At 51.2% G+C, this 20039-nt stretch overlaps 1 protein-coding gene and 1 pseudogene across 2 annotated transcripts in view, besides 7 other annotated features; one reads left to right on the forward strand and one right to left on the reverse strand.

Annotated features, from left to right (window-relative positions):
• TTLL1 (TTL family tubulin polyglutamylase complex subunit L1) overlaps nt 1-11554 on the reverse strand; it is a 49876-nt gene extending 38322 nt beyond the window's left edge. For both annotated transcript variants that reach the window (NR_027779.2, NM_012263.5), the window contains exons 1-2: nt 11440-11554; nt 2065-2149 (exon numbers count right to left, since the gene is read on the reverse strand). The gene's annotated coding sequence lies outside the window, so the exon portion shown is untranslated. The remainder of the gene's footprint in view (nt 1-2064; nt 2150-11439) is intronic.
• Nucleotides 688-1210: an enhancer, noted in NCBI's record as "H3K4me1 hESC enhancer chr22:43474531-43475053 (GRCh37/hg19 assembly coordinates)". NCBI's record gives its function as "activates a minimal SCP1, AML or CMV promoter by ChIP-STARR-seq in naive H9 embryonic stem cells {active_cell/tissue: H9 hESC(naive)}" and the evidence as "EXISTENCE:reporter gene assay evidence [ECO:0000049][PMID:30033119]".
• Nucleotides 1211-1732: an enhancer, noted in NCBI's record as "H3K4me1 hESC enhancer chr22:43475054-43475575 (GRCh37/hg19 assembly coordinates)". NCBI's record gives its function as "activates a minimal SCP1, AML or CMV promoter by ChIP-STARR-seq in naive H9 embryonic stem cells {active_cell/tissue: H9 hESC(naive)}" and the evidence as "EXISTENCE:reporter gene assay evidence [ECO:0000049][PMID:30033119]".
• Nucleotides 11322-11661: a silencer, noted in NCBI's record as "silent region_13851". NCBI's record gives its function as "represses an Ori minimal core promoter by ATAC-STARR-seq in GM12878 lymphoblastoid cells {active_cell/tissue: GM12878}" and the evidence as "EXISTENCE:reporter gene assay evidence [ECO:0000049][PMID:35858748]".
• Nucleotides 11322-11720: a biological region, named in NCBI's record as "Sharpr-MPRA regulatory region 1995".
• Nucleotides 11426-11720: an enhancer, noted in NCBI's record as "tiled region #1995; HepG2 Activating DNase matched - State 1:Tss". NCBI's record gives its function as "activates a minimal TATA promoter and a strong SV40 promoter by Sharpr-MPRA in HepG2 cells {active_cell/tissue: HepG2}" and the evidence as "EXISTENCE:reporter gene assay evidence [ECO:0000049][PMID:27701403]".
• Nucleotides 11426-11720: a silencer, noted in NCBI's record as "tiled region #1995; K562 Repressive DNase unmatched - State 1:Tss". NCBI's record gives its function as "represses a minimal TATA promoter and a strong SV40 promoter by Sharpr-MPRA in K562 cells {active_cell/tissue: K562}" and the evidence as "EXISTENCE:reporter gene assay evidence [ECO:0000049][PMID:27701403]".
• Nucleotides 12469-12528: a silencer, noted in NCBI's record as "silent region_13852". NCBI's record gives its function as "represses an Ori minimal core promoter by ATAC-STARR-seq in GM12878 lymphoblastoid cells {active_cell/tissue: GM12878}" and the evidence as "EXISTENCE:reporter gene assay evidence [ECO:0000049][PMID:35858748]".
• On the forward strand, nt 14297-14742 carry RPS25P10 (ribosomal protein S25 pseudogene 10; annotated as a pseudogene).

A 20039-nucleotide genomic window follows, 5' to 3' on the forward strand; every position in this document is an offset into this window, starting at 1 on the left:
GGCTCACGCCTATAATCCCAGCACTTTGAGAGGCCGAGGCAGGCGGATCACTTGAGCCCAAGAGTTTGAGACCAGCCTGGGCAACATGGCAAAACCCCATCTCTACAAAAAAATACAAAAATTAGCTGGGCGTGGTGGCATGCACCAATAGTCCCAGCTACTTGGGAAGCTGAGGCAGGAGGATCACTTGAATCTGGGAGGTCAAGCTGCTGTGAGCCAGGATGACGCCACTGCACTCCAACCTGGGGGACAGAGTGAGACCCTGTCTTAAAAAAAAAAGCACTCAAGAGACATTCACTATTATCATCATCATCCCCACTGCACCAATGAGGAAGCTGAGGCTCAACAGTTAAGAGCCTGTGTAAGAACCAGACTCAGCTGGGTGCAGTGGCTCATGTCTACAATCCCAGCACTTTGGGAGGCTGAGGTGGGCGGATCACCTGAGGTCAGGAGTTCAAGACCACCCTGGCCAACATGGGGAAACCCCGTCTCTACTAAAAATACAAAAATTAGCTGGGCGTGGTGGCATGTGCCTGTAATCCCAGCTACTCAGGAGGCTGAGGCAGGAGAATTGCTTGAACCCGAGAGGCGGAGGTCACAGTGAGCCAAGATCGCACCATTGCACTCTAGCCTGGGCGACACAGCAAGACTCTGTCAGAAAAGAAAAGGAAGGAAAAACAAAAGAGAAGAGAAGAGAAGAAAAGGAAACAGACTCAAGGGAGTCCGGGTGCCCTGATTCAAAGCCGGGATGATACTACTCTAAAGTGCCGCCTCTCTCCACACAGCCCATCACTTCCCTCTGTGAACCTGGCCTTTGGCAGGATGATGACAACACCCAGGTCACAGGGTCAATGAGCAATAAACAGAACCGCTCTCTGCAAGCTACAAGGTGCTGTATAAAGGACTGCTGTTAGGTGATCCGATATGGTGCACGTGGAACCTCAGCAGTCACACCAAGATGACAATAAAAGCACAGGAGCCGCACCCCAGAGCGTGAGCCCATCCCACACCCCTCACACCCACAGACACGGGGACCACGGGAGCCGCACCCCAGAGCGTGAGCCCATCCCACACCCCTCACACCCACAGACACGGGGACCACGGGAGCCGCACCCCAGAGCGTGAGCCCATCCCACACCCCTCACACCCACAGACACGGGGACCACGGGAGCCGCACCCCAGAGCGTGAGTCCATCCCACACCCCTCACACCCGCAGACAAGGGGACCACGGGAGCCACACCCCAGAGCGTGAGTCCATCCCACACCCCTCACACCCGCAGACACGGGGACCATGGGAGCCGCACCCCAGAGCGTGAGCCCATCCTACACCCCTCACACCCACAGACACGGGGACCACGGGAGCCGCACCCCAGAGCGTGAGCCCATCCCACACCCCTCACACCCACAGACATGGGGGCCAAGGGAGCCGCACCCCAGAGCGTGAGCCCATCCCACACCCCTCACATCTGCAGACACGGGGGCCACAGGAGCCACACCCCAGGTGTGAGCCCATCCCACACCCCTCACACCCGAAGACATGGGGACCACGGGAGCTGCATCCCAGAGCGTGAGCCGATTCCACACCCCTCACACCCGCAGACACGGGGCCACGCCAATGGCTCAGGGAACTTTTCATTTTCACTATGTGATTTCAGCCTCCACAGCTGTGATTTCCTGATGAATCCTGCTTGCGGCCTGGGGACCACCCCCCAACCACCGCCGTCCAGGCTGCATGGTTCACATGTTGTACTTAAAGCAAGCATCTTAGTGGGTGACCTCACACCAGCCACTGACATCTACCTGGAGGTGACAGAAGAGTAGTGACTGGAGACCAGGAAGGCTGTGCGCGATTCTCACACAGTGCTTCCCCAGGCCTCAACGCTTTCAGGTGTGAGACCCCAAACCTACCGAGGCAGACGGGCCAAACATCCTCATCCACATTTCACTAAGCAACTGGGGCAGGTGCTTTAGCCAGACCATCAGGTGTCCCTCCCAGGCCCCGCGCCCTCTCTCCCACCGTGTGGGCAAATGGTCCCTAAGGGGCCGTCTCAGGCTGTACCTACCATAGGCACTGACAGAGCACCACTGGCAACGCCCACGCTCACCTCGGTCTCGCTGACGTCACTGACGCCGGCCCCTCCTTCTTCCCTAAAAGTTAACACACAGATGAAATGTACATCAAACACATTAAGAAGACACTCTTTAACCATTTTTTGTTTGTTTTTGTTTTTTTGAGACAGGTTCTCACTCTGCTCAACCAGGCTGAAGTGCAGTGGTATGATCTCGGCTCACTGCAATCTCTGCCTCCCGGGTTCAAGTGATTCTCCTGCCTGAGCCTCCTAAGTAGCTGCAACTACAGGCGAGTGCCACCACACCCGGTTAATTTTTGTATTTTTTGTAGAGACAGGGTTTCCCCATGTTGGCCAGGCTGGTCTCAAACTCCCAGGCTCTAGCTATCTGCCCACCTCAGCCTCCCAAAGTGCTGGATTTATAGGCGTGAGCCACCGCGCCTGGCCTCTTTAACCATTTTAAGAATACTATGACAAAACCGTAACTAGCCAGAATATTCAGTGGCTGGCATCTTGTTGAACAAATGTACACCAAAAGATGCTCTTAAGAGTCTTCCCATTACAGTAAGAATTTCTGAACTGTATTACTTACTGGCTCCAGCTGGCCTTCTCAAGCTGCCATACCACCCCTCATGTCACACACCCCTCACTCCAGCTGAGCTCAGCCCCTTCCCACACCTGCCCGACCCTTTCCTCCCACCTGCAAGCCTGTGTGCACCCTGTGCCCCACCTGGAACGGCCCCTCTGCACTGCCTCTTCTCCAACTCCTACCAATCATTCAAGGTACAGTTCAAAGGTCACTCCCTCCACAGAGAGCCATTCTCAGCCTTAGCTGGATGGAGCTAAGGTGCCCTCCCCAGACCCTCTGTCTCCTCTCCTGCCATCCTTGCTGGCACTCAGAACTGCCTACCTTGCATTTCAGCCCTTTAAGTACATTCCTTCTATAAACACAGGAGGGTGGGACTCTGAGTCACCTGTTCCCAGTGTTGCATGACTTTTTTTTTTTTTTTTTTTTTTTTTTTTTTTTTAGACAAAGTCTCGCTCTGTCACCCAGGCTGGAGTGCAATGGCACATCTTGGCTCACTACAACCTCTGCCTCCTGGGCTCAAGCGATTCTTCTGCCTCAGCCTCTGGAGTAGCTGGGATTACAGGAGCCCATCACCACGCCTGGTTAATTTTTGTATTTTTAGTAGAGACAGGGTTTCACCATGTTGGCCAGGCTGGTCTCAAACTCCCGACCTCAGGTGATCCGTCTGCCTCGGCCTCTCAAAGTGCTGGGATGACAAGCGTGAGCCACCGCGCCCGGCTGCACAGAATCTTTCCAGGCTGTGATGTGGGCATGCGCATCAAAGCCCCCCATCCATCCTGCCTGACCTGAACATCTCCAGCACAAGCCCAGGCACAGGCAAGGCCCTCAGTAAATATTCAGTGCATGACGGAGGGAGTGGGTAAACCCTCCAGGTGAGTCCCTTGAACCTGACTCTGCTTTTGACAGTCGCTCCCATAGAGATGTGTTACGGGTTAAGTTGTGTCCCCACAAACTTATGGGGAAGTCCTAACTTGTCTGAAACAAGTACATGCAGCAGAAAGAGCTTTGCTCCAAAGATCCCCACACACCCCTTCCATTTTTTTTTAATGTATTTTATTTTTTTATTTTTTTGAGACAGAGTCTCGCTCAGTCGCCCAGGCTGGAGTGCAGTGGCGCGATCTCAGCTCACTGCAACCTCCGCCTCCTGGGTTCAAGCATTCTCTGCCTCAGCCTCCCAAGTAGCTGGGACTACAGGCGCCTGCCACCACGCCCAGCTAATTTTTGTATTTTTACTAGAGATGGGGGTTTCACCATGTTGGCCAGGTTGGTCTTGAACTCCTGACCTCATGATCCACCCGCTTCGGCCTCCCAAAGTGCTGGGATTATAGGCGTGAGCCATCACACCTGGCCTTTTTTTTTTTTTTTTTTTTTGAGTCAGAGTCTTTCTCTGTCACTCAGGCTGGAGTGCAGTGGCACCATCTTGGCTCACTGCAACCTCCGCCTCCTGGGATCAAGCGAGATTCTCCTGCCTCAGCCTCCCAAGTGGCTGGGATTACAGGTACATGCCCCCGCGCCTGGCTAGTTTTTGTATTTTTAGTAGAGGCAGGGTTTCACCATGTTTACCAGGCTAGTCTCAAACTCCTGACCTCAAGTGATCCATCCCCTTCTGCCTCCCAAAGTGCTGGGATTACTGGTGTGAGTCACCGCACCTGGACCCCTTCCATTTTTTTTTTTTTTAAACAACACAGATAATTGATTACGTCACATTAATAATATCTACAAAGGCTCCAGAGCTGGTAATTTCTGGGCTTGATATCATCACCAATAGCTTGAGTTCTTCCCATTTTCCATTTTGCCATCCTCAGAAAATTGGCTCTGTCCTCAGTCAAGCCCAGTCAAGACAGCTACATTTCCAGGAGAGGAAAAGCCTGTTTCTTTTTCAGGGTTTCTTTTTATGTGAGAAAATCTTTTGGAAAAAAAATAAAGGCCAGACAGGGCGTGGGGCGTAGTGGCTCATGCCTGTAATCCCAGCACTTTGGAAGGCTGAGGTGGGTGGATCACCTAAGGTCTGGAGTTCGAGACCAGCCTGACCAACATGGTGAAATACCGTCTCTACTAAAAATACAAAAATTAGCCAGGCATGGTGGTGCGCGCCTGTGATCCCAGCTACTCAGGAGGCTGAGGCAGGAGAATTGCTTGAACCCAGGAGGCGGAGTTTGCAGTGGGCCAAGATTGTACCACTGCACTCCAGCCTGGGCAACAGGATGAGACTCTGTATCAAAAATAATAAAAACAGGCTGCGCGCGGTGGCTCATGCCTGTAATCCCAGCACTTTGGGAGGCCAAGGTGGGTGGATTACCTGAGGTCAGGAGTTTGAGACCAGCCTGGCCAACATGGCGAAACCCCGTCTCTACTAAAAATACAAAAATTAGCTGGGCATGGTGGCGGGCGCCTGTAATCCCAGCTACTTGGGAGGCTAAGGCAGGAGAATCGCTTGAACCCTGGAGGCAGAGGTTGCAATGAGCCGAGATCGTGCCATTGCACTCCAGCCTTGGTGACAAGAACAAAACTCTGTCTCAAAAATAATAAAATAATAATAATAATAATAATAAAGACCAACAATACTCCTTTTTAAAAATACATATATAGGCTGGGCGCAGCGGCTCACGCCTGTAATCCTAGCACTCTGGGAGGCCGAGGCAGGCAGATCACGAGGTCAGGAGATCAAGACCATCCTGGCTAACATGGTGAAAACTCTTCTCTACTAAAAAAAATACAAAAAATTAGCTAGGCATGGTGGCGGGCGCCTGTAGTCCCAGCTACTCAGGAGGCTGAGGCAGGAGAATGGTGTGAACCTGGGAGGTAGAGCTTGCAGTGAGCCAAGATTGCACCACTGCAGTCCAGCCTGGGCGACAGAGCGAGACTTAGTCTCAAACAAACAGACAAAAAACATATATAGCTCTCTCACTGGCCAAAATTTTATCACCCACCAATTCCTAAAACAAACATAGGCTGGCCAAGTGGCGTGGCTTACACCTGTAATCCCAGCATTTTGGAAGGCCGAGATGGGCGGGTCACCTGAGGTCACGAGTTCGAGGCCAGCCGGACCAACAGAAACCCCGTCTCTACTAAAAATACAAAATTAGCTGGGTGTGGTGGCGCTTGCCTGTAATGCCAGCTACTCGGGAGGCTGAGGCATGAGAACTGCTTGAACTCAGGAGGCGGAGACAGCGGTGAGCCAAGATCGCACCATTGCACTGCAGCCTGGGCAACAAGAGCAAACTCCATCTCAGAAACAACAACCACAACCACAACAATAAAAACCCACTGGCAAGGGAATGAGCATATCAAACTGGCTTAGGCTAATTAGGATTTATTCCTGAGTTGGGGATATGATCACCTTCCCTGAGCAAAATTCTTGATTTAATTAATCAAGAAAAAAAATGAAAAAAGGATATGTGTCAGCTACAAGTGTCTTAACAGATCAGCTGAGCCAACTGAGATTTAACAAGTTGAGACTCTCAAAGCAGTTTGGTTAATTTCCTTGACATTATTTACTAATGCTTACCAAATTGCTACTCTGTGTCATACTTTCTACTAACCATTTTACCTAACAATATCATGGCATTAAAATAAACTAAATCCTTATTCTCGTCAAAAGGGATGCCACGGAAGATAGAAACAGAGTTCCTGTCTTCTGAAAAAACTCTAAACATATTTTTTTTCTTTTTTGAGATGGAGTCTAGCTCTACTGCCCAGGCTGGAGTGCAGTGGTGCAATCTTGGCTCACTGCAACCTCCGCCTCTCAGGTTCAAGCGATTCTCCTGCCTCAGCCTCCTGAGTAGCTGGGATTACAGGCACCCGCCACGATGCCCAGCTAATTGTGTATTTTTAGTAGAGGTGGGGTTTCACCATGTTGTCCAGGCTGGTCTTGAACTCCTAACCTCACGTGATCCATCCACCTCAGCCTGCCAAAGTGTTGGGATTACAGGTGGCTCAGAGCTACTGTGCCCAGCTGACACCTTTTTCCTTCTTTCTTTGCAGGCTCCCCACCTGCTTTTTCTAGGTTTCTTTTCTTTTTTTGAGATGGAGTCTTGCTCAATCGCCCAGGCTGGAGTGCAGTGGCGCGATCTTGGCTCACTGCAAGCTCTGCCTCCTGGGCTCACGCCATTCTCCTGCCTCAGCCTCCCGAGTAGCCAGGACTACAGGCGCCCGCCACCACGCCCGGATAATTTTTTGTATTTTTAGTAGAGATGGGGTTTCACCGTGTTAGCCAGGATGGTCTCGATCTCCTGACCTTGTTATCTGCCCGCCTCAGCCTCCCAAAGTGCTGGGATTACAGGCATGAGCCACTGTGCCCAGCCTTTTTTCTAGGTTTCAACCACAAGCTTCCAATCTCTTATCATCAGGTGGTTAGGTTGGAGTAATTCTAGCCAGGGCCCTGGCTGGGCACTGGAGCTCAACCATGCCTGCACAGAGTAAGGAATGACAAATTTATATCATCATTAAGAACAAAAGCTGCCACCTTTTTTTTTTTTTTTTTTTTTTTGAGATGGCATCTTGCTCTGTCGCCCAGGCTGGAGTGCAGTGGCGCGATCTCAGCTCACTGTAACCTCCACTTTCCAGGTTCAAGTGATTCAAGCGATTCTCCTGCCTCAGCCTCCCGAGTAGCTGGGACTACAGGCGCATGCCACCATGCCCGGCTAATTTTTTGTATTTTTAATAGAGACGAGGTTTCACTGTGTCAGCCAGGATGGTCTCCATCTCCTGACCTCGTGATCCGCCTGCCTCGGCCTCCCAAAGTGCTGGGATTACAGGTGTGAGCCACCGCGCCTGGCAAAGCTACCACTTATTAAGCTCTAGCATGTGTCAGGTACTGGGTGGGGTAGTTTATGAATATTCTTCTCCACTGTGTATATTATCGTCTCATGTGATGCCCAAAGGCAGATGATATGATTTGTCTGTATCCCAATCTCAACTTGACTTGTAATAATCCCCACGAGTCAAGGGCAGGGCAAGGTGGAGATAAACGAATCATGGGAGTGGTTCCCCCGTACTGTTCTCGTGGTAGTGAATAAATCTTGTGAGATCTGATGGTTTTATAAATGCGAGTTCCCCTGCACAAGCTCTCTTGCCTGCCACCATGTATAATGTGCCTTTGCTCTTCCTTCATCTTCCGCCATGATTGTGACTGAGTCAATTAAACCTCTTCCTTTTATAAATTACCCAGTTTTGGGTATGTCTTTATTAGCAGCATGAGAACAGACTAATACAGCAGGAATTCTCCGCATTTTACAGATGAGGAAAATGGGGGCCAGAGAATAAAAAGAAGAGGAGAGTGTGCAGCCTGTGGACAGCCTACACGCTTCCCTCCCACACCAGATGGCAACTGTTATTTCACATGTGCCTCCCACATTAGATAGCAACCTCCTGCGGGGCAGCAGAGTGGGCTGGCTCAGGAGCGGGCTGGCTCAGGAGTGGGCTGACTCGTGTCTGTTCTCATGTCGGGCACGCAGCCAGCCAGGCCTAGCGTGGGGCTCCAAAATCGTGTGTAGACAAGTGATCCACCGGGCCACGCCCCACAGTGTGGAAGAATGGGTGATTCCTTCCCAACCCTAAGCAATACTAAGCCGTTTTCCTTAGAAAAGTAAATAAATACCTGATATCAGATTGTTTTATTGTTGCTTCCTCCTAAAACAGAAAACGGAAGTGGGGTTAAGGGTACTGAGTAACGTGTTATTATCTCTCCTGGTTCACGTGAATTGATGCATCTGAATCTTACGTCACTTTCTAAACTGAGCATCATAAAAACCTAACCAGGAAAAACAGAGTGACATATTGACCTTTTATGTTGAATGCAGCTCACAATTGGAGTTGGGGCTGTCACCACCTGAAGTGTGTCAACCACAGAAAGCCATCCTGAAACCAGAGAGCTGCTGGTTATTTTCAGAAGACAACCTGGGTCTCGCTCCTGGGGCAACTGGGTAGGATCGTCATGAGCTCAAAGAGAAGGTTTCCCATGAACACCCTGGATATCAGGGCCACTGGTGGTCTAACTTCTCATCCACCCACACAGCCCTGACAGCCACTCAGTGCCAGGCCTGTAACAGACAGACATTAAACTGAGAGCCCAGATGGGGGCGAGGAGCACAGGAGACACATTTAACAAGCTGTAAGGCCTGCCTGCAGCAAAGGGCTTCAACAACACATCACAGTTCAACTGTGGCCGGGGAAGGAAGGGATGGTTAATTTGATCCAGCAGCAAATCAGGTCAGCTCCACTCCAGAAGATTCCAAATCCATCCTCCACTCCCATAATGTCCCCTCTCTCCTGGGCAACTGCAGCAGGCCCCACTCTGTCCCCTGCTACTCTTCTCACTCCACTACAACCCATTTCCCACCCAGCAGCGGACCAATGTGTGACACACACAACACTAACCATGTCACCCTGCTCACTACCCCACAGTAGCTTCATACTGCATTCAGAATGAAGCTAGTGGTCCTCCATGGCCTACGAGGCCAGCCCTGCAGATCTGGACCATCACCTCTTAGGCCTTGTCTCTCACCAACCCTCTTTAGCCCCTGGCCTTCTTTCAGCTCCTGACACCCCACAGGCTGCATTTTGTCTTAAGCCTTTGCTCGTCCTCCAGATCTGTCCCTTCTCAAAAGTCAACTGCTCAGAGTGGCTTTCCCCAACCACTCAATCTCAATCCTCCTGACTCCACCACATTGTCACTTTATTTTCTCCATGGCACTTGGGTTGTAAGCAATCATTTAGTCCAGTGCTACTCAAAGCATGGCCCACATGTGAGCAGCACCTGGAGCTTGTTAGAAATACAGATTCTTTGGGAGGCCAAGACAGGTGGATCACCTGAGGTCGGGAGTTCGAGACCAGCCTGGCTAACATGGTGAAACCCCGTCTCTACTAAAAATACAAAATTAGCTGCGCGTGGTGGTGCACATCTGTAATCCCAGCTACTCAGAAGGCTGATGCACGAGAATCACTTGAACCTGGGAGGTGGAGGTTGCAGTGAGCTGGCATCACGCCACTGCACTCCAGCCCGGGCAACAGAGTGAGACTCCATCTCAAAAAAAAAAAAAAAAAGAAATACAGATTCTTAGCAGGGCACGGTGGCTCACGCCTGTAATCCCAACACTTTGGGAGGCCAAGGTGGGTAGATCACCTGAGGTCAGGAATTCAAAACCAGCCTGGCCAACATGGTGAAACCCTATCTCTACTAAAAATACAAATATCAGCCGGGCGTGGTGGTGGGCGCCTGTAATCCAAGCTATCTGGGAGGCTGAGGTGGGAGGATTGCTTGAACCCGGGAGGCAGAGGTTGCAGTGAGCCAAGATCGCACCACTGCACACTCCAGCCTGGGTGACAGAGTGAGACGGTCTCAAAAAAAAAAAAAAAAAACCAAGAATATGGCCAGGCACAGTGGCTCACGCTTGTAATCCCAGCACTTTGGGAGGCCGAGGTGGGCGGATCACCTGAGGTCAGGAGCTCGAGACCAGCCTGGCCAACATGGCGAAACCCCATCTCTACTAAAATTTAAAAAATTAGCGGGGCATGGTGGCGCGTGCCTGTAATCACAGCTACATGGGAGGCTGAGGCAGGAGAATCGCTTGAACCCAGGAGGCAGAGGTTGCAGTGAGCCGAGAGCGACCGCACTCCAGCCTGGGCAACAAAGCAAGACTCCGTCTAAAAATAAATAAATAAATAAATAAAGTAATAACAATGTCAGTGATGACTTCATGTTGAGCAGGGCATTCGTTCACAGCGGTATTGTCACTGTCCATCTCCACGCCCGCACTGGGTGACAGTACCATGCTCCACAGTGACTGCTTACCAGTGTCTGTAATTTGAGGGCAGAGAAGGGCCCATCTTTTTTTTTTTTTTTTTTTTTTTTTTTTTTGAGACAGAATCTCGCTCTGTCGCCCAGGCTGGAGTGCAGTGGCGCAATCTCGGCTCACTGCAAGCTCCGCCTCCCGGGTTCACGCCATTCTCCTGCCTCAGCCTCCCGAGTAGCTGGGACTACAGGCCCCCGCCACCATGCCCGGCTAATTTTTTTTTTTTTGTATTTTTAGTATAGACGGGGTTTCACCGTGTTAGCCAGGATGGTCTCGATCTCCTGACCTCGTGATCCTCCCGCCTCGGCCTCCCAAAGTGCTGGGATTACAGGCGTGAGCCACCGTGCCCGGCCGGGGCCCATCTTTTTGTACCGCCACAACCCGGCACCATAATGTGCTCATCAAACGTTTCCTGAGCAAAGAACCTGCTTTGCAAATGCCAAAAGGGCTAACAATGATAAGATACTTTCACTTCCAGAATTAATCTCCTCTAATGCCCCAGCTACTCTATGGAAAAGGATGACTACCCCGCCCTGCCCTCTTAGCTGATAGGGAATCAGAGAGGGGAAATGTCTTGGTCCAGTCATCTAGAGGGAAGACACAAGGCTCTTGTCTCCTGCCCTGAGTTCTCTCCACAGGTACATTGCGCCCTGCAAAAGATGCCAACAGAAACAACACAGATTGCAAACGAATGGGAAACGTGTAGGAACAATGAAAGTCTGGGATAACAAATAATAAACATAATGATGCAATTGCAACAGTCGGACAGCACGAGGTAAGTCATAGGAACTCAGCGGACGGAGAAAGGCACGGTGGTTAGCGCGGGCTTCCTGGAGGACGCGGATCCGGCAAGCAGCATCTGAACCGCATTTTCGCAGCCGCGTAGACACTGGCGCCCACACTCTCTCACCCATGCGCACTCGCCAGCCCGCGCGCAGCCACACCCTCGGTGCCCGGGAGGCGGCGGCCTGGGGGACAGGACCTCACCTGTGGGCTCAGAGCGCCGAGGGACTCGGAGGAGCGCCCTGCAGGGATGCCTCGAGCCGCGCCCTCGCCCCGCCTCCAGCCCCTCTCCGGCGCTCGCAGGAGTACGCAGCCGACTGCCAGGCGCACCGGCCCGCCCCGCCCCGCGCTGCACTCTACTTCCAGGGCGGCGCCCTGGCAACCCAGGACGCGACCGCCGGCGCTGCGACTATTTCCGGAGTCAGACTTGCCTGGGGCTCCTTTGGGCTCCATACCTCGGGCGGCCGCTATGCCCAGGGCTTGGATCCTAGGAAATGCCAGGCCGTCCACCCTCTCGGGGCCCAGAAAGGAGATTGAGAAGGGTCTGGAGCACGGGATTAAGTCTAAAAAGAAAGGTAGAGCGGTGTGATGATTAGGTCCGAATCCTGGGTTCGGTCTCAATCCGCTGTTTAGCCTCTCCTACCCCTTCTACCTCGGCTTCCTTATCTGAAGAAATGGTGATGTTGCGCCACTGCACTCCAGCCTGGGCGATAGAGCGAGACTCCATCTCAAATAATAATAATAATAATAACATAAAAATAAAATAATTTTTTTTAAAAAGTGTTTATCTGGGCCAGACTCGGTGGCTCACGCCTGTAATCCCAGCACTTTGGGAGGCAGAGGCGGGTGGGTCGCGAGGTCAGGAGATCGAGACCATCCTGGCTAGGCTGAGGCAAGAGAATCGCTTGAACCCGGGAGACAGAGGTTGCAGTGAGCCAAGATCGTGCCACTGCACTCAAGCCTGGGCGACAGAACAAGACTCCGCCTCAAAAAAAAAAAAAAAAGACGTTTATTATTCTCGTTATAGACCTGTGTTACCTCGAATTCTCTATACAATTATTCATTTTTAATTTCATCAATTTAAAGAGTTATGCAAACTTGTGCAACTTGTAAGTGACAGAGTCTGGCTTTGAACCCAGGACACCTGACCATTCATGCTGCTGCCTCTCAGGAGGGGTGGTGGTGTGCTTTCTTAGTGATGATTGGAGCTTTGCTAACATCACTTCCTATAATCTCCCACACAACCGCCTCCCAGGCCCAGAGCACATTCAGCGCATCATCATTTACTTTTGGCACCATCTAGTGGAACCAACACTTATCTGGAGTCCAAATTGCCAATTCATACCCTTCAGCTGCTGTCTGGTTGTGAGGCCTTGAGAAGTCCCAAGGCTTCCGACTACAGTGTTCTCACCTTAAACCCAGGAGATGAGTGAAGGCTTGCAAGACGTGGTTAGGGCCTGGCATAGTAAAGTGTTCAATAAACATTGTAGCCTTCCAGCATGTTGCCTCATGCCTGCAATCCCTGTACTTTGGGAGGCCAAGATGGGAGGATCACTTGAGGTCAGGAGTTCCAGACCAGCCTGGCCAATATAGCAAGACCCCATTTCTAAAAAAAAAAGAAAAAATATTTTTAATCAGCCGGGTATGGGGGCGTAGCCAGCAGTCCTACTCAGTTACTCAGGAGGCTGAGGTGGATCACTTGAGCCTAGGAGATTGAGGCTGCAGTGAGCTATGATCCCGCCACTACACTACAGCCTGGCCAACAGAACAAGACTCTGTCTCTTAGAGAAAAAAAGTTAAAAAAAACAACAACAAAAAAAGAATTTTAAGGCAGGGCATGGTGCCTTACGCCTGTAATCCCAGCACTTTGGGAGGCCGAGGCGGGTGGATCACCTAAGGTCAGCAGTTTGAGACCAGCCTGGCCAACATGGTGAAACCCCGTCTTTACTAAAAATACAAAAATTTGCCGGGCATGGTGGTGCGCACTTGTAATCCCAGCTACTTGGGAGGCTGAGGCAGGAGAATTGTTTGAGCCTGGGAGACAGAGGTTACAGTGAGCCGAGATCGCACTATTGCACTCCAGCCTGGGCAACAGGGCGAGACTCCGTCTTAAAAAAAAAAAAAGAACTTTAAGATGGCGACAGCAGCATTAAACTAACTTCAGGGCTTGTCTGAGCACGGGGTCCTATGGTTCTGTACAGGTCACAGGCCCATGAGGCTGGCCTTACCCTAAGAAGCTGGCCACAGCTCCCCTCAATGAATCCCCACAAGAACTCTGCTGAGTTAATGGTGTTATCACCACTTTTTAAAAAATAGTGGTAAATTGGCCGGGCGCAGTGGCTCACGCCTGTAATCTTAGCACTTTGGGAGGCCGAGGTGGGCGGATCATGAGGTCAAGAGATCGAGACCATTCTGGCCAACATGATGGAAACCCGTCTCTACTAAAAATACAAAAATTAGCCGGGCATGATGGCACACGCCTGTAGTCCCAGCTACTCAGGGAGCTGAGGCGGGAGAATCGCTTGAACCTGGGAGGCAGAGGTTGCAGTGAGCTGAGATCACACCACTGCACTCCAGCCTAGCGACAGAGCGAGACTCTGTCTAAAAACAAAAAAAAGAAAAAGTGGTAAAATATGTATAACATAAAACTTAACCATCTTAGCCATTTTTAAATGTACAGTTCAGTGATGTTAAATATATTCACGTTGTGCAATCAGTCTCCAGAACTTTATCCTCTTGCTAAACTAAAACTCTTTACCCATTGAACACAATTCCCCATCCTTCCTTCCCCAGCCCCTGGTAACTGCCTTTCTACTTTCTGTCTTAATGAATTAGACTCCCTAAGTACCTCATCTAAGTGGAATCTGGGCCAGGCACAGTGGCTCATGCCTGTAATCCCAGCATTTTGGGAGCCTGAGGCAGGAGGATTGCCTGAGCCCAGGAGTTTGAGACCAGCCTGGGCAACATAGGGCGACCTCGTCTCTGCAAAAAAAAAAAAAAAGAAGAAGAAGAAGAAAGAAAGAGAAGGAAGGAAGGGAGGGAGGGAGGGAAGAAAGGGTTCGCTGCTGCTCTCTGAGCTTCGCCGTGCTATCAATGGATGACAAGAAGAACGAAGACACCGGAAAGTCGCTAAGAAAGACAAAGATTCAGTGAACAAATCTGGGGGCAGGGCCCAAAAGAAGAAGTGGTTCAAAGGCAAAGTCCGGGACAAGCTCAATAACTGAGTCGTGTTTGACAAACCTACCTATGACAAACTCTGTAAGGAACTTCCTAACCATAAACTTATAAGCCCTGCTGTGGTCTCTGAGAAACTGAAGATTCGAGGCTTCCTGGCCAGGGCAGCCCTTCAGGAGAACCTTAGTAAAGGACTTAACAAACTGGTTTCAAAGCACAGAGCTCAAGTAATTTACATCAGAAATACCAAGGGTGGAGATGTTATAGCTGCTGGTGATGATACATGAACAGGTCCAACCAACTGTACATTTGCAAAAATAAAACTTTATTAAATCAAAAAAAGAGGCCAGGCGCGGTGGCTCATGCCTATAATCCCACACTTTGGGAGGCCGAGGTGGGTGGATCACCTGAGCTCAGGAGTTCGAGACCAGCCTGGCCAACATGGCGAAACCCCGTCTCTACTAAAAATACAAAACTTAGCAGGGCATGGTGGCATGTGCCTGTAGTCCCAGCCACTAGGGGGGCTGAGGCAGGAGGATCGCTTGAACCCAGGAGGCGGAGGTTGCAGTGAGCCAAGATCATGCCACTGCACTCCAGCCTGGGCGACAGAGTGAGACTCCATCTCCAAAAAAAAAAAAAAAAAGAAAGAAAAAGAAGAAAGGAAGAAAGTAGAATCATACAGTATTTGTTATTTATTTATTTATTTATTTTTAGAGAGGACGTCTTGCTCTGTGGCCCATGCTGGGTGCAGTGGCAGGATCATAGCTCACTGTAACCTTGAGCTCTGGACCTCAAGTGATCCTCCTTCCTCAGCCTCTAGAGCAATTAGGACTACAGGCATGTGCCACCACACTCAGCTAATTTTTGTCTTTTTGTGACTGGCTTATTTCATGTAGCATAATGCCCTCAGGTTCATTCCTGTTGTAGTATGGATTTCCTTTTTTTTTTTTTTTAAGGCTGAAAACATTTCATTGTATGTTTTTAAGGCATTTAAAAAAATCCAGGGCGGGGGGAGGGGGGAGGGATAGCATTAGGAGATATACCTAATGTAAATGACGATTTAATGGGTGCAGCACACCAACATGGCACATGTATACGTATGTAACAAACCTGCACGTTGTGCACATGTACCCTAAAACTTAAAGTATAATTAAAAAAAAAAAATCCAGGGCCAGGCTTGGTGGCTCATGCCTATAATCCCAGCTCTTTGGGAGGCCCAGGCAGGCAGATCACCTGAAGTCAGGAGTTCAAGACCAGCCTGGCCAACGTGGCAAAACCCCGTCTCTATTAAAAATACAAAAATTAGCCGGGCATGGTGGCGGGCGCCTGTAATCCCAGCCACTCGGGAGGCTGAGACAGGAGAATCACTTGAACCCAGGAGGCGGAGATTGCAGTGAGCCGAAATCATGCCACTGCACTCCAGCCTAGGGGATAGAGCGAGAACCCGCCACCCAAAAAAAAAAAATCCATTCATCAGTTTCTACCTTTTGGCTATTGTGATTAATGCTACTATGAACACGGGTGTATATCTGAGACCCTGCTTTTAATTCTTTTTTTTTTTCTTAATAACTGAGATCAGGTCTCACTATGTTGCCTAGGCTGTCTCCAACTCCTGGGCTCAAGTGATCCGCCTGCCTTGGCCTTCCAAAGTGGTGGCATTACAGGCATGAACCACCACCCCAGGCTCCTTGCTTTCAGTTATCTGGGGTATGTACCCAGCGTGAGACTGCTGGATCATGTAGGAATTCTATATTGAACTTTCCGAGGACTCTCCATAAGGTTTTCCACAGCAGCTGCACCATTTCACATTCCCACCAACAGTGCCAGAGTTCCAATTCCTCCACATCCTGGACAATACCTGTTATCTTCTATTTTTTGATAGCAGTTATTCTAACGGGTGTGACATCCTCCCTGCCTTGTAAATATGGGAACTGAAGCTTGAAGGTGGTGAGTAACTTGCCCAAGGCCAGGCAGCAATCACTACAGCAGTCATCGTCACTGGGCAGATGTCTCAACACATCAGCCCCACTCACACTGCCACCAGGAGGCCAGCTCGCCGCTGTCACAGTGCCAGCCAATAGCACACACAAGTACTTCACCTTCGCTCCAGTCTGATGCTCCCTGAGGCCAACAGGAGCCCTCAGGCACGCCCCATGCCACTGCAGCCCCCTGGCCAGCCAGCTGGACCCGAACCTGCCTAGACCTGGCCATGCTCCTCCCCATGCTGCCCCACCCTCAGCCTCTAGCAGCCTTGCCCCCTTCTCCCCCACTTCCCACCACAGGCCCTGACTTCCCAGGGTCTCTGTCCCCTCCTCCCTCCCCCTTGCAGCATGGAGGTGGGAAGGCTGCCTCTTCTCCAGGTGAAAGAACCAGGTGCTCTCGGGATCTCTCCTTATCCTCCTTGCCCATTTACCTGAGCACCTAGAAGGATTAGGGAGAGGCCAGACAGCTGGGCCTCAGGCTCTGGCTTTGTCAGGCCCTTTTCTAGCCCCAAGGGGCTGAGGCCCAGAGCGCAGGCCTCCTGGCCTAGGGCCAAAGGGTGGAGTCCCTGGGGGCTCAGAGAACAATAAGAAAGCCAGCCGGGTGCAGTGGCTCACACCTGTAATCCCAGCACTGTGGGATGCTGAGACAGGTGGATTACCTGAGGCCAAGAGTTTGAGATCAGCCTGGCTAACTTGACGAAACCCTGGCTCTACCAAAAATACAAAAAATTAGCCAGGCGTGGTGGCACGTGCCTGTAATCCCAGCTACTCTGGAGGCTGAAGCACGAGAATTGCTTGAACCTGGGAGGCGGAGGTTGCAGTGTGCCGAGATTGCACCATTGCACTCCAGCCTGGGCAACAGAGGGAGACTCAGTCTCAAAAAAAAAAAAAAAAAGAAAAGAAAATAATCTTCAATCCCCAGAGCTGGTGGGAGACGAGGGCCGCCCCTACCTGTTATTCCTCCAAGAACCGCCCACAGGGTGGCTGTTTGTTTCCCTTGGGGGGCCTGGCTTTCCATTCCCTCCTTCTCTCCCCCTTCCCTTCTCATCCATTTCCACCCCTTTGCCCTCCTGCTGGGCAACCAAGTCCCCCGTGCCCCAGTTCCCCAGTCCTGGGGACCCAAGTGTCCACCCAGGTAAAGCCGAGGAGGTGTCCGGTCAGGGAAGGTTAAAGGACAATAACAAAAGTACCGACTGGTACCCCAGAGAGCCTCCCCACAAGTGGACTTCGAGTGCTTAACCTCTGCTCGCTCCTGCTCTTTACAATGGAGTTAATAATAGAACCAGCTTCCCGGGGCAGCTGTGACGATCAGATGAGACCATGCCAGTGACCGTGCTCAGCATGCAGCCCGCACAGAGGGCAGCTCCTAGGAAGACTGTTCATGATCAATCAAGGGGAAGCTGCTCAGAGAGGACCGCATGCCCAGAGTGTGAGAGTGTGTGTGAGTGTGAGTATATGTGGGTTGTGTGTGAGTGCATGGGTGTTGTGTGTGTGTGTTATTGTGTGTGTGGTGTGTTTGTGTGAGTGTGAGAGTGTGTGTGAGTGTGAGTGTGTGTTGTGTGTGAGTGTATGTGTGTTGTGTGTGTGAATGAGTGTTATTGTGTGTGTGGTGTGTTTGTGTGAGTGTGAGAGTGTGTGTGTGGTGTGTGTGTGTGTGTGTGAGAAATGGGAAAGTTCTTCAAAGATTATAAAAAGTCACAATTTCTTACTGTAAGATTGCTATCCACTATATATATATATATAGTGTCCTATCAGCTGTCCTAGCTTGCTCCGGCATGCCTGGACAGAACTAGACAAGCCCCAGCCGGGCCGGGTGCGGTGGCTCAGGCCTGTAATCCCAGCACTTTGGGAGGCCGAGGCGGGTGGATCACGAGGTCAGGAGATGGAGACCATCCTGGCTAACATGGTGAAACCCCATCTCTACTAAAAATACAAAAAATTAGCCTGGGAGGTGGCAGGCGCCTGTAGTCCCAGCTACTCGGGAGGCTGAGGCAGGAGAATGGCGTGAACCCAGGGGGCGGAGTCTGCAGTGAGGCGAGATTGTGCCACTGCATTCCAGCCTGGGTGACAGCGAGACTCCGTCTCAAAAAAAAAAAAAAAAAAAAAAAAAAGAATAGAAAGCCCCAGCCCATAGTGCGTCCCATTCCTTATTTGGAGATGCTCCCTTAACTATCCCTGGGCAACTTCCTTTTCTTTCTTTGTTCTGTCCCCCTTACCCAATTAAAACGTTTTAAACCAATAGCCAATCGAGTAAAGTGTAAAATGTGAGGTCCTATTCCAGCCAATGGAAACTGGACACAGCAGTAGGGTAGATGCGTTAGGTTATAAATAACAGTCTCCTTCGCTCAGTGTGCTCTCGTGGCTGAGCAGCTATTGAGCAGCGCCCTTTCTGCAGAAAGTAAAGCGCACCTTGCCGAGAGATCATTTGTTTCTGTGTTAATTTTTTTTGTGTGTGACACCAAAAACTTCATTCCCAACACATGTGAGTGACTGTGTGTGTATGTGTGTGTTCACCCCACCCACAGCAGGACCCAAGGTTGGTGGGGAGGGTTGGGACAAGGGGCTTGAAGCTGGAAGGGACTAGAGCTCCTCCCCAACCCCCTGCTAAGCAGCACCCAGCACAGACAGCAGAGGCCCCAGCTGAGGAAGATGGGGCTGATCTTCCCGGGAGCTGGGTCCTGCACGCTCTCCCACGGCCCAGTGAGACGCAGAAACGGATCCTTTGTCCGACTTCCTCCAGATTGCCTGGGGTTGGACCCCTGCAAGCCAGGAGGAGCCAGCGGCTTCCAGAGGGGATCTGAGTCCAGGTCTGGAGGCCTCTGTGTTTGGTGCTCTTTCTTTTGTATCAGCTGGATGGTGGAGGAGGAAGGCAGAGGTGTGTGGGTGAGGGGTTGTGGATAGCGGAGCCTGGGAGGTGGGGTGCAGGTAAGGGAGGCTCAGGGAGCCCAGGCAGCACAGAGCCCGTCTTACGGGGCTGACCAGTCACCGGTCTGCTGCTCTCACCTGCCTGGAGAGGCTCTACTCTGTACCCCAGAGACCTACATGGGCCTGGCCTTGAAACATGACCAGTAAGGCCTGTGAAGGATGGAGGGAAGAACTGCACCCTATAACGAGCAGGCAGCTAGGACCCCCAGACTCCTCTCAGGCCTGGGTCCTCCTGGGATGCAGCAAGACTGCCTCAGAAGAGATCTGAGCTGGGCGCGGTGGCTCACGCCTGTAATCCCAGCACTTTGGGAGGCCGAGGCAGGGAGATCACCTGAGGTTGGGAGGTCAAGACTAGCCGGACCAACATGGAGAAACTTCATCTCTGCTAAAAATAGCTGGGCGTGGTGGCACATGCCTGTAGTCCCAGCTACTCGGGAGGCTGAGGCAGGAGAATCACTTGAACTCGGGAGGTGGAGGTTGCGGTGAACCGAGATTGCACCATTGTACTCCAGCCTGGGCAACAAGAGCGAAACTCCGTCTCAATAAATAAATAAATAAAAAGGCCAGGCGCGGTGGCTCACGCCTGTAATCCCAGCACTTTGGGAGGCCGAGGCGGGCGGATCACGAGGTCAGGAGATCGAGACCATCCTGGCTAACATGGTGAAACCCCATCTCTACTAAAAATACAAAAAATTAGCAGGCGTGGTAGTGGGCGCCTGTAGT

The sequence above is a fragment of the Homo sapiens genome, chromosome 22, assembly GCF_000001405.40.
Source record: "Homo sapiens chromosome 22, GRCh38.p14 Primary Assembly".
Classification (NCBI taxonomy): domain Eukaryota; kingdom Metazoa; phylum Chordata; class Mammalia; order Primates; family Hominidae; genus Homo; species Homo sapiens.